The sequence below is a fragment of the Homo sapiens genome, chromosome 20 (genome assembly GCF_000001405.40).
Source record: "Homo sapiens chromosome 20, GRCh38.p14 Primary Assembly".
NCBI classification, from domain to species: domain Eukaryota; kingdom Metazoa; phylum Chordata; class Mammalia; order Primates; family Hominidae; genus Homo; species Homo sapiens.
This window is the reverse complement of record NC_000020.11, coordinates 32,090,373-32,105,714: the sequence shown is the minus strand read 5'-3', so window position 1 is coordinate 32,105,714 and position 15,342 is coordinate 32,090,373. Positions and strand designations below refer to the sequence as shown.

The window sequence follows — 15,342 nt, the reverse complement described above, 5'->3', positions numbered from 1 at the left end:
GGCTCACTGCAGCCTAGACCTCCTGGGTAGGTCTCCTACCTCAGCCTCCTGAGTAGCTAGGACTGCAGGCACCTGCCACCATGCCCGGCCAATATTTGTATTTTTTGTAGAGATGGGGTTTCACCATCTTGCCCAGGCTGGTCTCAAACTCTTGGGCTCAAGTGATCCACCTGCCTTGGCCTCCCAGAGTGTTGGGATTGCAGACGTGAACCACCGTGCCTGGCCAATATTATTTATTTATTTATTTTTTGAGACAGGGTCTCACTCTCTTGCCCAGGCTGGAGTGCAGTGGTACAATCACGGCTCACTGCAACCTCAATCTCCTGGGCTCAAGTGTTTCTCCTGCCTCAGCCTCCTGTGTAGCTGGGACCACAGTTGCATGCCACCACAACCAGCTAAATGTTTAACTCTTTGTAGATATGGTGGGGGGGGGGGTCCCACTTGTTGCCCAAGCTGGTCTCAAACTTCTGGGCTCAAACAATCCTCCCACCTTAGCCTCCCAAAGTGCTGGGATTATAGGTGTGAGCCACTGCACCTGCACCTGGTCAACTCTTTTTTCTTAGTGCTGAATAATATCCCATTATGTGAATATACCACAAGTTGTTTATCCATTCACCTATTGAAGGACATCTTAATTGTTTCCAAGTTTTGGCATTTATGAATAAAGCTGCTGTAAATATCCATGTGCCATTTTTGTGAGTGTGTGTAGACGTAAGTTTTCAACTCATATGGGAGCACAATTGCTGGATTGTGTAGTAGGTTATGCTTAGTTTGGTAATAAACTGCCAGATGCCTTCCAAAGTGGCTGTACCGTTGTGCATTCCCACCAGCAATGAATGAGAGTTCCTGTTGCTCCACATCCTCCTCAGCATCTGGTGTCATCAGTGTTTTGAATCTCAGCTATTTTAGCAGATACGGTTTTTTTTAATTGTTGGGTTTTAAGAGTTCTTTATATATTGCAGATACCAGTCCTTCATCAGAGATATCTTTTGCAAATATTTTCTACAAGCTTGGGAATCACATTTTTCTTTTCTTTTCTTTTCTTTTTTCTTTTTCTTTTTTTTTTTTTTTAAGACAGAGGTTTGCTCTTGTCACCCAGACTGGAGTGCAATGGTGTGATCTTGGCTCATTGCAACCTCCGCCTCCTGGGTTCAAGCAATTCTCCTGCCTCAGCCTCCCGAGTAGCTGGGATTACAGGCGCCCGCCACCATGCCTGGCTAATTTTTGTATTTTTAGTTGAGACAGGGTTTTACCATGTTGGCCAGGCTGGTCTCGAATTCCTGACCTCTGGTGATTCACCCACCTCGACCTCCCAAAGTTCTGGGATTGCAGGCGTGAGCCACCACGCTTGGCCATGTTTCTATTTTCTTAATAGTGTCTTTGGCAGAGCAGAGTTTTTAATTTTAAAGAGGTACAGTTTATCTTTTTTTTCTTTTGTGGATCATGCTTTTGGTGTTGTATCTATCCCCATGTTTTTACCTGTCTTTTCGGTGACCAGAGAGACAAATCAGTGTTGGTTTGGGCGGTATAAATTGAAAGAGTAAGAAGCAGAAATTGATCTCTTAACCTTGTTCATAAGCAATAGGCTCCAACTCCTGAGATCGTGCCTCAGTTGCTGTGGCTGTCATACTTTTATGTAACAAAACAACCCCAGAACACAAAAGCATCTATTTCTCTCTCACATGTCCACAGGTCAGATGGAGCTCAGTTGATCTAGGCTGGGCTCAGGCCTGCAGGTTGGTCTAGGTCTGCTCCATCTGTCACTCATCTTCCTCGGACCATGTTCTTTTCAGGGCAAAAGACTGGAAGGCAAGCCCAGCCCCACAAGCACGTTTCAAGCCTCTGCTTGCATCACATCTGCTAACATCCCATTGGCTAAAGCAAGTCTCACGGTCAAGCTCAACACTGATGGAGCAGGGAAATGTACTCCTCCCATTGGATTATTATCACAAATCATAAGGGAACATTTCCATCAGAAGACCCTGGGCTCTGCTTTCATGTACCCAAGCCATACCCCAAACTAGAAAGCAAGAAAGAAATTACCAACTAGGTAAATTGAAACACTGCTAGCTTTATTTTCCACTGTTCTTATATTCAGTTCCTAAGGTTAGAACCCCACCCTACTCAGAAGTACAGAATCAAGTTAGTATAGGATTCCATGGGACCCTGGGGGGTGATGTGATGTACAACCTTCAGGGGATGCAATAATATAGAAAGGTGGTGTTTCGTTTTCACCCATTGTCCACCTCTTTTGTCTTTCTCTCTATGATAAAAACTAGCTGCCAGGGTCTTTCAGCTGAGGCAACATTCAGGAAGCCCGCACTGCTTCGTCTTCTCTGCTTCCTACGCAGGTCTCCCACCCCTCCACTGAGAGCTTCCCCTGTAGGGTACTAGACACCTCTCAGCAGCCATATCTCCAGACCAGGATTCCTGCAATGGCAAATACCACTTCGACAAGTATGATGGCTGCTTGACCCATGGGAAACGTCAGGTCTGCAGGCAGCCCCCAGCTCTGGGGAGCTGTAAACTGACCAGCTCTTATAGCAATGTGGCCTAACAGGAAAGTCAGGGTCCCAGATCATGAGAAACCATTCCTGTCATCCTGGAAGACCCATCTCCTTGGAGGCAAAACCCATCCAGCATCTGGATACCAGTGGAGAAGGCAGAAAAGTGCCCCCCGTCGAAAGATGTTCATGTCCTAACCCTCAGAGCGTGTGAAAATGTTACCTCACATGGCAAAAGGGACTTTGCAAAGGTGATTAAGAATCCTGAGATGAGAAGATTATTCTGAATTATCCAGGTGGGTCCAAGGAGTTCTTACAAATAAAAGAGGGGAAGAAGACTCAGAGGAGATATGAAGATGAAAGCAAAGTTTGGAGTAATGAACGAAAGGGGCTGATGAGTGAAGGAATAGGAGCAGCCTCTAGAAACTGGGAAAGGCAAGGAAACAAATTATCCCCTAGAGCCTCCAAAAAGAATGCAGCCCTGCCAACCCATTTCAGTCCCTCTGACTTCTGGAACAGTAAGGTTATACATGTATTGACTGATTGATTGATTGATTGATTGAGACAGGGTCTTGCTTTTCTGGAACAGTAAGGTTATACATGTATGTATGTATGTATGTATGTATTGAGACAGGGTCTCGCTGTCTTGCCCAGGCTGGAGTGCAGTGGTACAATCTCGGCTCACTGCAACCTCCACCTCCCGGGTTCAAGCAATTCTCCTGCCTCATCCTCTCCAGTAGCTAGGATTACAGGCGCCCACCACCATGCCTGGCTAATTTTTGTATTTTTAGTAGAGACGGGGTTTCACCATGTTGGCCAGGCTGGTCTCGAACTCCTGATCTCAAGTGATCACCCACCTCAGTCTCCCAAAATGCTGGAACTATAGGCATGAGCCATTATGCCCGGCCAAGTAATGTTATGCAGTTTTGTTGTCTTAAGCTACCAGATATGTGGTAATTTGTTACAGGAGCAAGAGGAAACTAATATAGCCAGTAACTATTTTAGGGCAGTTAGAAAACCTCAAGCATTGAACCCCAATTTTCTTTCCTTTCCTTTCTTTCTTCTTCTTCATCTTTTTTTTTTTTTTTTAAACAGGGTCTCACTGTGTCGCTCAGGCTAGAGTGCAGTGGCACGATCATAGCTCACTGTGGCCTCGACCTCCTGGGCTCAAGCAATCCCCCGCTCCTCGGTCTCCCAAAGCACTGGTATTATAGGTGGGAGCCACAGCACCCAGTCTGAACCCCACTTGTCTTTGTATTTCTGGTCCCCGGGAGAGTCCTTCACCATTTCTGACTTGTCATACAGCAAGAAGGCAAATAGATATTCAGGAATTGGAAGGACAGGAAAACCAACGTTTTGGTAAAGACTTTGGCATTTATATCTTTTATTTAAATATTCATTTCACTATTTTGAAAGTTTCCCTTCCAAATCACAGCTGTAACTAAAATCCAACCATTCCAGGAAATAGAAATATCAACTTGGGGGCTTCCTGAGAATGTCAGATTGTGGATTGCAAGAGTCAAAAAGAGATTTTCCAGTCCAACCTACCCACTGGACAGATGAGGAAACTGTGGCTGAAGCGAGGGTGGGTGTCTGGGAGTAGGAAGGGGGTGTGGGCCCTGGCGGATGGTGCTGGAGCCACCTTGCAGCCACCACCTGGGCACCCCCTGGCCCTGCCCTGGTCCTCCCTATCATGGCTGCTGTTGGTACTGGCTCTCTGTGGCCGTGTAGAAGTCATCCAGCACACTCTGGATGTATTCGAAGGTCGGCCGCTCCTCCGGACGGTTTTTCCAGCAGCGCATCATGATGTTGTAGAGCTCCTCTGGGCAGTTCTCTGGGCGAGGCATCCGGTATCCACGCTCCAGAGCTCGGATCACTTCAGGGTTTGACATCCCTGAAAAGGAGCCGTGGAATTAGAAACGGAAGCAGTTGGGAAATGAGAGCCCAGGGGTGGCAGGCCCTGTGGCCTCCCCAGCAGGCATCACTCCCCACCTCACCTTGCAAGCTGAGCCCCTTCCACTGTGAAAGACAGACTTCCACCCTCAGCTTCACTTGCAGCTAGGACATGGGCCTGGGACCCAGTTTGGGCCAATGGGAGCTGATGGGGAGGTCTGCTGGGAAAGTGATGGAAAGGTTTTTCCTCCCGCTTAGAGGAGAGTCTTTGGAGAACGCACCCTTCATCTCTTCCTTTGAACACTGTGAGATACTTATGATACTTGGAGCTGACAACATGGAGAAGACCATCATAGAGACAGGAACCCAGAGTCCTGACAGCTGCTGAGTTGCTGAACTAACCAGTCACCAATGGAAGATTGGGAGTAATAGATTGCTTCTATTTCAGTTACTCTTTGTCTGTTATTTTGTTGCTTGCTGTGGAACACATCCTAATGGATTCAGCGTCTATTGTGTGTTGCCTGGTTTTGACTAGTGCACCCTCAAGACAAAACATTCAGGTGGCCAGATTCAATGTTAACCTATGGGTGGGACCATTTTTTTGTTCAGTTCAAGTTTCTATTAGCTATTCATAAGAATAGCCATTCAATGTCTGTGATCCCCAATTTTATATTATTAGTCTCAAACTCCAAACTCATGAACTCAAGTGCTTCCTTTACTTGGATGTCTCTATATTTAAGTCAACTCAAATTTAGCAGAGCTAAAACAGAGCTCTCCAATTTCTATCCCTAGACCATTACCCACCCTGTGGTGCAAAGCCAGGGTAATCATCCTTTATTCTCTCTCTCTCACCTCCTAAGTCAGCAAGTCAGATCTTTTCTCCTTTTGAAACGTAGCACCAGTTCATCAACGTATGCCAGTCACGAATGCCACCACCCTGTCCAGACCATCATCACCTCTGCCTGGGCCACTGCTGTGGCCTCCTCACTGGCTGCCACCCTGTTCCCTTTCCCTCCCATTCACTCTCCATGCTGAAAGCATCGCTTAAAAATGGAAATCACCAGCCCGGCAACATAGCAATACCTTGTCTCTCAAAAAATTTAAAGAATTAGCTGGGCATGGTGGTGTGTGTCTGTAATCCCAGCATTTTGGGAGGCCAAGGCTGGAGGATCGTTTGAGCCTGGAAGTTAGAGACCAGGCTGCACAACGTAGTGAGACCAAGTCTCTACAAAAAAATTAAAAAAATAAAAAATAGCCAGACATGGTGGCATGTGCCTATGGTCCCAGATACTCGGGAGGCTGAAGCGGGAGGATCATTTGAGCCTAGGAAGTCGAGGCTGCCATGAGCTATGATTACACCACTGCACTACAGCCTCAGTGACAGAGTGAGACCTTGTCTTAAAAAAAAAAAAAAAGGTGGAGAAAGGACAAGATCTGATTTAAAGTTTAGAATTATCCTTCTGGCTGCAAGTGGAGAATAGGCTGTAGGACGAGGAGGGAGAAAGCAGTAAGACTGATGAGGATGCCGCTGCACCATCTATGGGAGATGACGCTGGCCTGGATGCAGTGGAGACTGTGGGGTTCAAAGTGGTGAGACTTGGGATATGTTTTGGAGTCGAGTGGCCAAAACCCTGTGACTGCTCAGATGTCATAGGGGTGAGGCCAGGCACAGTGGCTCACGCCTGTAATCCCAGCACTTTGGGAGGCCGAGGCAGGCGCATCACCTAAGGTCAGCAGTTCGAGACCAGCCTGGCCAACATGGTGAAACCCCGTCTCTACTAAAAATACAAAAATTAGCCAGGCATGGTGGTGGATGCTTGTAATCCCAGTTACTCAGGAGGCTGAGGCAGGAGAATCGCTTGAACCTGGGAGGCGGAGGTTGCAGTGAGCCGAGATCACGTCACTGCACTCCAGCCTGGGTGACAGAGGGAGACTCCGTCTCAAAAAAAAAAAAAAAAAAAAAAAAAGTCATAGGAGTGAGAGAGAAGGAAGGGCCAAGGAAGCCCCCAGATTTCAGGCTTAAGACATTAGATGGATGGAGGTGCCTTTAACTAAGACAGGAAAGGTGAGGGAAGGTTGGGGGTGAGGATCAAGAACTCAGTTTGAATGGACATGTTGTTGAGATGAGCCCATTGCCAGACTGGGCCCTGGTAGCAGCCCTGAGCTGATGCCCCTTCCCTACCTGGGTAAGGGATCCGGCCGTAGGTGACGATCTCCATCAGCAGGATACCAAAGGACCAGACGTCTGACTTGATGGTGAAGGAGCCAAAGTTGATGGCTTCAGGAGCTGTCCACTTGATGGGGAACTTGGCCCCTGCAGGGTTGAACAGAGCAGAGTCGGGGAAGGCTGGGGAGTAGTGAGGGTTGGCTCTGCTAAGGTGGGGGAACAGGCAAGGGCAAGAGCTGCCAACATCTGCCCCTGCAGACCTGCAATTTCCCTGATACGTGGCCTCCCTGTGGAAGCAAGGGACATCCATCCTGAGGACAGATGGCTAAACAAGGAGGAGTGGGCTTAGGGGCCTGGGGTATGGTGTGGAAGTTCACTCTAGAATCCTCCTCGTTGATTCAGCTGATACCCCAGTTAACTGCAACTCCGAAGAGTGGAATCCCAGAGGTCACAGGTCTTTGGGGACAGAAGGACTTCAGGGGGCCTTGAGTCCAGGTTGCAGCTGATGCCTCAGTCCTCTCATCCTGGGCGATGGGAAAAGGGAGGATTCTGGCTCTCAGCCCATGAGGTTCCCACCAGTCACTATGTGTCTCTCCCTTTACCCGCCCTTCCTCCCACCTAGTCTGACATGGGTTTAGTTAGCCTTTTCATTTTTTTTTTCTTTTAGAGACAGAGTGCCCAGGCTGGAGCGCAGTGGCACAATCATAGTTCACTGAAGCCTCGAACTCCTGACCTCAAGCTATCCTCCTGCCTCAGCCTCTCAAGCCCCTGGGGTTACAGGTGTGCCCCATTATGCCAAGCTAATTAAAAAAATTTTTTTGGCCAGGTATGGTGGCTTGTGCCTGTAATCCCAGCACTTTGGGAGACCAAGGAGGAGGATCACCTGAGGTCAGGAATTCGAGACCAGCCTGGCCAACTCCATCTCTACTAAAAATACAAAATTAGCTGGGCATGGTGGCAGGTGCCTGTAGTTCCAGCTACAGGCTGAGACAGGAGAATCACTTGAACCCAGGGGATGGAGGTTGCAGTGAACCGAGATCACACCACTGCACTCCAGCCTGGATGATAGAGTCAGACTCCGTCTCAAAAATAAAATAAAATAAAATAAAATAAAATATAAAAAAATAGAAAAATTTGTAGAGACAGTGTTTTATTATGTTACCCAGCCTGTTCTCAAAACTCCTGGGCTCAAGTGATCCTCCCATCTTGGCCTCCTAAAGCACTGGGATTATAGGTGTGAGCCACCGCACCTGGCATAGTTATCCTTTTTTAAAAAGTGTTTAGTTTAATTATATCATGGTTGGTGAACATGGTCTATAGAATATATGTTCTTTGGAATTTGTTGAGACCTGCTTTATGACTGAGTACATGGTCAAGTTTTGAAAATGTTCTATGTGTGTGTTTGTGTGTGTGAGAGTGTGTGTGTGTGTATATGTTTTCTCCCTTCCTCCTTTGGATCTACAGACTTTTCTTGATTTCCTGCTTATCTTCTTCTGGTTTAGAAATTATACATTCTACTTTTATTCCTTTAGTCATTACATTTATTTATTTATTTATTTATTTATGTTTTGAGACAGGGTCTCGCTCTGTTTGCCCAGGCTGGAGTGCAGTGGTGTCATCTCAGCTCACTGCAAGTTCCGCCTCCCGGCTTTCACGCCATTCTCCTGCCTCAGTCTCCCAAGTAGCTGGGACTACAGGTGCCCGCCACCACGCCTGGCTAATTTTTTGTATTTTTAGTAGAGATGGGGTTTCACCGTGTTAGCCAGGATGGTCTCGATCTCCTGACCTCGTGATCCTCCCACCTCAGCCTCCCAAAGTGCTGGAATTACAGGCATGAGCCAACGTGCCCGGCCCTATTTATTTACTTTTTTGAGACAAAGTCTTGCTCTGTTACACAGGCTGGAGTGCAGTGACATGATCTTGGCTCACTGCAGCCTCAACCTCCTGGGCTCAAGCGATTCTCCCGCCTCAGCCTCCTGAGTAGCAGGGACCACAGGCTCACACCACCACGCCTGACTTATTTTTAAATTTTTTGTAGAGATGGGGTCTTGCTATATTGCCCAGGCTGGTCTTGAACTCCTGGGCTCAAGCAATCTGCCCATTTTGGCCTCCCAAAGTGCTAGGATTATAGTCATGAGCCACTGTGCCCGGTCTAAATTTTTTTTAATCGAGTTATAACGTACATGAAATAATATGCACAAATCTTTAATATCCATTTTGCTGCAGCTTTATATATATATATATACCCTTGTAATCACCATCAGATTGGGCTGTAGAACATTTTCAGCATTTCAGAACGCTCCTTTCTGCGTCCTTCCAGTTAATACCCCCTTACTTAAGGTGACTGCAGCCTGTGCATAGTGGCTCATGCCTGTAATCCTAGCACTTTCAGAGCCTGAGGCAGGAGGATCACGTAAGTCCAGGAGTTTGAGACCAGCCTGGGCAACACAGTGAGACACTATCTCTACAAATAATTAAAAAATTAGCTGGGCATGGTAGCACGTATCTGTAGTTTCAGGTACTCAGGAGGCTGAGGCTGGAAGATTGCTTGAGCCCAAGAGTTGGAGGCTACAGTGAGCTATGATCTCACCCCTCCACTACAGCCTGGGCAACAGAGCAAGCACCTATCTTTTTTTTTTTTTTTTTTTTTTGAGACGGAGTCTCGCTCTATCACCCAGGCTGGAGTGCAATGGCACAATCTCGGCTCATTGCTGCAACCTCTGCCTCCCGGGTTCAAATGATTCTCCTGCCTCAGCCTCCCGAGTAGCTGGGACTACAGGCACCTGCCACCACGCCCAGCTAATTTTTGTATCTTTAGTAGAGACAGGGTTTCACCATATTGGCCAGGCTGGTCTCAAACTCCTGACCTTGTGATCCGCCTGCCTTGGCCTCCCAAAGTGCTGGTATTACAGGTGTGAGCCACTGTGCCCGGCCGCACCCGTCTCTTTAAAAAAATAAATAGGACTGGCACAGTGGCTCGCATCTGTAATCCCAGCACTTCGGGAGGCCCAGGTGGGTGAATCACTTGAGGTCATCAGTTCGAGACCAGCCTGGCCAACATGGTGAAACCCTGTCTCTACTAAAAATACAAAAACTAGCTGGGCATGATGGCACATGCTTGTAATCCCAGCTGCTTGGGAGGCTGAGGCAGGACAATCACTTAAACCCAGGAGGTGGAGTTTGCAGTGAGCTGAGATGGCGCCAATGCACTCCAGCCTGGGCAGCAGAGCGAGACTCCGTCTCAAAATAAATAAATAAATAAATAAATAAATAAATAAATAAATAAATAAATATTAGGCTAACAGAAACTAAAGGTGACTGCAATTCTGACCTCTAGTGCTATAAATAAATTTTGCCTGTTTCTTTCTTTAACAGCTTTATCGAGATAGAATTCACAGACCATACATTTCACCCATTTAAAGTGTATAATTCCGTGGCTTTCAGAATATTTACAAAGTTGTGGATTTTAGAATACTTTCATCACATTTCCCTGCAAAAAACCCACAGAAGTCACTCCTCATTTCTCCCAACTCCCCACCACCAGCTGTAGGCACCAATAATCTACTTTCTGTCTCTTTAGATTTGTCTGTTCTGGGCCGGGCATGGTGGCTCACACCTGTAATCCCAGCAGTTTGGGAGGCCAAGGCGGGCGGATCACTTGAGGTCAGGAGTTTGAGTTCAGCCTGGCCAACATGGTGAAACCCTGTTATCTACTAAAAATACAAAAATTAGCTGGGTATGGTGGTGTGCGCCTGTAATCCCAGCTACTCAGAAGGCTGAGGCACAAGAATCGCTTGAACCTGGGAGGCAGAGGTTGCAGTGAGCTGAGATTGAGCCACTGCACTCTAGCCTGGGTGACAGCAAGACTCCATCTCAAAGAAAAAAAAAAGATTGCCTCTTCTGGACATTTCATAGAAGGGGAATTATACAACATGTGGTCTTCATGTTGGCTTTCCTTTAACAAAATGTTTTTAAGGGTCATCTGTGTTCTAGCCTGGCGTAGTACTTCATTCCATTTTATGGCCAAATAATATTCCATTGTATGGATATATCACATTTTGTTCGTCTGTTCATCAATTGATGGACATTAAAGAGTGTTGTTTCCATTTTTTGGCTATTAGGAAGAATGCTGCCATGAATGTCCAATTACATGTTTTGTCTCTTTTAGAATTTCACAAAAACGAAACCAAGTGGCATCTACTCTTTTTTTTTGGTCTAATTTCTTTCATTTTGATATTATACCTGTGAGAGTTACCCATTTTGGTGCATTTAGCATTGGCTTGTGCCTCTTTCTTTCTTTTCTTTCTTTCTTTCTTTCTTTCTTTCTTTCTTTCTTTCTTTCTTTCTTTCTTTCTTTCTTTCTCTTTCTCTCTCTTTCTTTCTTTCCTTCTTTCTTTCTTTCTTTCTTTCTTTCTTTCTTTCTTTCTTTCTTTCTTTCTTTCTTTTCTTTTCTTTTCTTTTCTTTTGACAAGATCTTGCTCTGTCCACCAGGCTGGGTGCAGTGGCATGATCATGGCTTACTGCAGCTTCAGCTTCCTAGACTCAAGTGATCCTCTCACCCTAACCTCCTGAGTAGCCACAACTACAGGCATACAGGCATGTGCCACCATGCCTGGCTAATTTCTTAAATTTTTGTAGAGACTAGGTCTTCCTGTGTTGCCCAGGCTGGTCTTGAGCTTCTGGGCTCAAGCAGTCCTCCAGTCTTGGCCTCCTAAAGTGCTGGGATTACAGGCGTGAGCCACTGAGCCTGGCCAGTTTGTGCTTTTTCATCACTGCGTGGTATTATATTGTGTGAATATACCACAATCCATCCTCCTGCTATGGACATTTGGATACCCTCCCCATTTTTGTCTGTTATGCACAAAGCTGCTCTTACCCTTAATTTCGACATATATTTGCCCACTCCCTCTAAAATCTATCAGTACTTCTCAATCTGATCTAAAATCTCCTCAAAATCTCTGAGTGAGACTCTGAAGTTCAGGACATTATCCAGAAGGATCCACCAAGCTCAAGAATGCACAGCTAGTACTGGGGCAGTCCCTTGCATTTTACCAATCGCTCTCACAAGTATCAACTCTCAACACTCACAAGCATCCAAATGGGCAACGTGGGGCTGCTTGGCAGCGTTCCCTACCTTCCCGAGCCGTGTACTCGTTGTCCTCAATGACCCGGGCCAGGCCAAAGTCAGCAATCTTACACACCAGGGATGCAGAGACCAAGATGTTGGCAGCTCGGAGGTCTCGGTGGATGTAGTTCCTCTGCTCGATGAAGGCCATGCCTTCTGCAATCTGCACCCCAAACAGAGACACCTTTGTCCTCAGACCTGGCCTACGCCAAGATGGCCCCACCCAAAAGCAGCAGAGAGGTGTTCAAGTGAAGAAAATGCGAAATGTCTGCACCAGCCCTCCCTTTTGTGTCGGGAGGGCCCCAGGGCTCAGGGTGGCATTCCTCCATCAACCCATTCAGGTTAGGGGGATCCCTAAGGAGGCCTGGGCCAGTTTGGGGGATTCTCTAGAATTCCAAGACTTCCAGAGAGCACTTTGAAATGTTCTCAGGGAAAAAGCAATGGGACTATTTCTCCAGGACCTATTCTTCCAGGAACACACATACACACACACGTGCACATGCACACACACACACACACACACACACACACACACGAACCCTAGGATACTATGAAGAGCTTTCACCTTCAACTCTCTTTCTGGGGACAACCCAGGTTCATGTCATATTCTGCTATACCTCTCATATCTTCCTCATGCCCCAGCCTGGGTAGGGAAAATTCACTTATTTACTCAACAGAAATCCACTGAGTGTCTTGTGGGTGCCAGACATGTTGCTTGAACAGGTGATGAGCCCGGCAAAGCCCCTGCAGGTGGTAAGTACCATAAAGAAAAGATAAAACAGGCCGGGCATGGTGGCTTACACTTGTAATCCCAGCACTTTGGGAGGCCGAGGTGGGCGGATCACTTGAGGCCAGGAGTTCGAGACCAGCCTGGCCAACATGGCGAAACCCCGTCTCTACTAAAAATACAAAAAGAAGATGAGCATGGTGGTGCACGCCTGTAATCCCATCTGCTCAGGAGGTTGAGGCACGAGAATTGCTTGGACCCAGGAGGCAGAGGCTGCAGTGAGCCGAGATCGTGCCACTGTCCTCCAGCCTGGGCGACAGAGCAAGACTCTGTCTCAAAAAGAAAAAAAAGATAAAACAAAGTAACAAAATATGACCTGTAGAGAGCTTTTTTGGATTGGGCGTTCAGGGAAACCTGCTTTGAGGGGGTGAGATTTTAGCAAAGATCTGAATGATGATAATAATAAGTGTGTCGCATAAGAATATTCTAGGCAGAGAGAACATGAGATGCAAAGGCGTGGAGGTAGGTAAGAGCTTGGGTGTTCATGGAACAGCACAGAGGTCAGTGTGGCCAGCAGAAGATGCCACAGAGAGAGTGGGGAGAGTTGAAGTTGAGAGGGAGGCCGCCAATCATGAACTGCCTTGTAGGTCAGGAGAGGAGGGTGGATTTTATTCTGAGCGTGTTGGGGAGATATTAGAGGCCTTCGAGCAGGAGCGTGACATGTTCTGATGTACATTTAAAGATCACCATGGCTGCTGAGTGACTAACAGACTGCGTGGAGGATTCTTATTCACACCAGGAGCCCTAGAAGCCTCTGATGAAAACACAGGGATTATATCTTGCAGACATTTTTACTTACAAGGGTTTGGACAAAAGCGGTTGAAGATGAACCCTCAGATGCCCAGAAAGCAGCACTTTTGGTTTACAAACTGGGCTTGAGCTCTTTGAGGCAGGAATGATCATAATCTCTGTTTTACAGACATGGAACCACTTGTTCCAGATCACACCACCAGGAAAATTCTGAATGTCAGGCTCAAACCAGTCTGAGGACTCCCAATCCAGTGCATCCTGCTGCCTCTAAATAACCCAGCACTCCAGTGCTCCGGCAGACTGCAGCTGGGTGCAGTCTGATGAAATTATTCTGGAAGTGAGGGCGTCTGACTAGACAGAACAATCAAAGCACCACCGGCCGGCTTCTCAAGGTCTGAGGCAAGTGGGTGGCGCACTTGCAAGGGGTGGACAGCAGGGGGCACCCGAGGCAGTTAGAATGGAGACCCATGCTTTGCTTTTTTCTTTTCTTTCTTCTTTTTTTTTTTCTTTTGAGACAGGGCCTTGCTCTGTCACGGAGTACAGTGGTGGGATCACAGCTTACTGCAACCTGTGCCTCCTGGGCTCAAGCAGTCTTCCCACCTCAGCTTCCCAAGCAGCTGGTACTATAGGTGCATGCCACTATGCCAGATTAAATTTAAAAAGAATTTTTTTTTTTTTTAATAGAGAAGAGGTCCCACTATGTGGCCCAGGCTGGGCTTAAAGGATCCTCCTGCTTCAGCTTCCCAAAGTGCTGGGATTACAGGCCTGAGCTGTCATGCCCAAGGGAGACCCAGAGACCCAAATTTTTCAGTAAAAACTTGGAAGAGACTCTGATTTTGTTTAGAATAGTGGGGGGTGGGGACGAAATGGGGATGAGGTTGCCAGGGTGGAGTGAGACAGCATCTTGGCCCTGGGAGTGTGGGAAATTTATGAGTCCTTAGATGAACAGTTAACAAAAGTTATGATGCTAATGGAAGGCATCATAGCTTATTTATAAGATGATACTTAAACACTTATGTGACATTTACCATGTGCTTTGGAGGAGGCACTTTTGTTATCAGCCCCATTTCCACAGATAAGAAAACTGAAGCCCAGAGAAATAGGTAAGTGGCCCCAGCTTACACAGCTTGCAAGTTGCGGAGCCAGGGCTGGAGCTCCAAAAGCGCTGCTTGGGGTCCACGCACTTACCTGTTACTTGGCCCAGCTTTTTTGCCTTGCTTTTCTTCTGGAGCAAGGACTAATGCTGGTAGTTACCACTGTTTGATGCTCACTGGCAGATGCTCATATGCTACTGATTTTCACAGGAGCTCGATGGGGCAGGGATGACACCCCACTTAGGAGACAGCAGAGGGTAATAGCTAAATGGCTCTGGAGCTGGACCAACTCAGCTTGAGCGCTGCAGCTCTGTGATGTCAAGCAAGTTGTGTCATCTCTCTGTACCTCACTTTTCTTCTCTGTAATAGCACCTGGTTCCAAGGGGTCATGTGAAGATGAATCCCCTAAGCCTACATCAAGGGCTTAGTAGAGTGTTTGGCACATAGTTAAGTATTTATTTAAAGAGTGGCTCCCAGTGCTCCCAGTGGGGGAAAGTGGCACTCAGAGAGGTTAAGCAACTTGCTTGAGGCTACACAGGCAGAGCTGAGATCAAAACAAAACTCTGTGTGACTCCTAAGCCCAGATGCTAATAGTGTTGCTTCTCCAGGGTCTGCTGACTGAATGAATAACGAGTAGGTTTATTGGGCCCAGGTGTAAGCACTGCGGGTTGATAAAGGCGGTGAGATTTCATGACCCCCAGATAGGGTGCCATGAGGTTGGGCACCCTTGGGTTTGCTTCCAAAGAGTATCAGGGAGTCACAGCATCAGAGCTGGAAGGACCTGTAGAGCTCTTCCAACTGAATCCTATGGATGCCTCAAGGTTATATGGGGGTGGGGGAGACAAAAGAAAGGCCACAGATAAGCCCCCCACCCTGCTTCAGTCAGAGCAGCTCTGTTTTGACCTGTTTGTATATATGCAGCTACTGAATAACATTTCATGTCACCCACAAAGCTGTGACTACAGAAACCCCACATGTGTGGTCCAGTTCTCCACCTGCTGCTCCAAGCTGCCTCTCTGAGT

At 47.1% G+C, this 15,342-nt stretch overlaps 1 protein-coding gene across 6 annotated transcripts in view, besides 2 other annotated features; it reads right to left on the bottom strand.

The window, feature by feature from the left end:
* The window catches only part of HCK (HCK proto-oncogene, Src family tyrosine kinase), a 49,615-nt gene continuing 38,131 nt past the window's right edge, over positions 3,859-15,342 (bottom strand). For all 6 annotated transcript variants that reach the window (NM_001172132.3, NM_001172133.3, NM_002110.5 and 3 more), the window contains 3 exons: positions 11,699-11,852; positions 6,580-6,711; positions 3,859-4,398 (listed from right to left, as the gene is read on the bottom strand). In NM_001172132.3, the coding sequence (NP_001165603.1) occupies positions 4,196-4,398; positions 6,580-6,711; positions 11,699-11,852 (489 nt within the window). In that variant the 3' untranslated portion in view covers positions 3,859-4,195. The remainder of the gene's footprint in view (positions 4,399-6,579; positions 6,712-11,698; positions 11,853-15,342) is intronic.
* Positions 4,270-4,771: an enhancer, noted in NCBI's record as "H3K4me1 hESC enhancer chr20:30688747-30689248 (GRCh37/hg19 assembly coordinates)". NCBI's record gives its function as "activates a minimal SCP1, AML or CMV promoter by ChIP-STARR-seq in primed H9 embryonic stem cells {active_cell/tissue: H9 hESC(primed)}" and the evidence as "EXISTENCE:reporter gene assay evidence [ECO:0000049][PMID:30033119]".
* Positions 13,897-14,692: an enhancer, noted in NCBI's record as "H3K27ac-H3K4me1 hESC enhancer chr20:30678826-30679621 (GRCh37/hg19 assembly coordinates)". NCBI's record gives its function as "activates a minimal SCP1, AML or CMV promoter by ChIP-STARR-seq in naive H9 embryonic stem cells {active_cell/tissue: H9 hESC(naive)}" and the evidence as "EXISTENCE:reporter gene assay evidence [ECO:0000049][PMID:30033119]".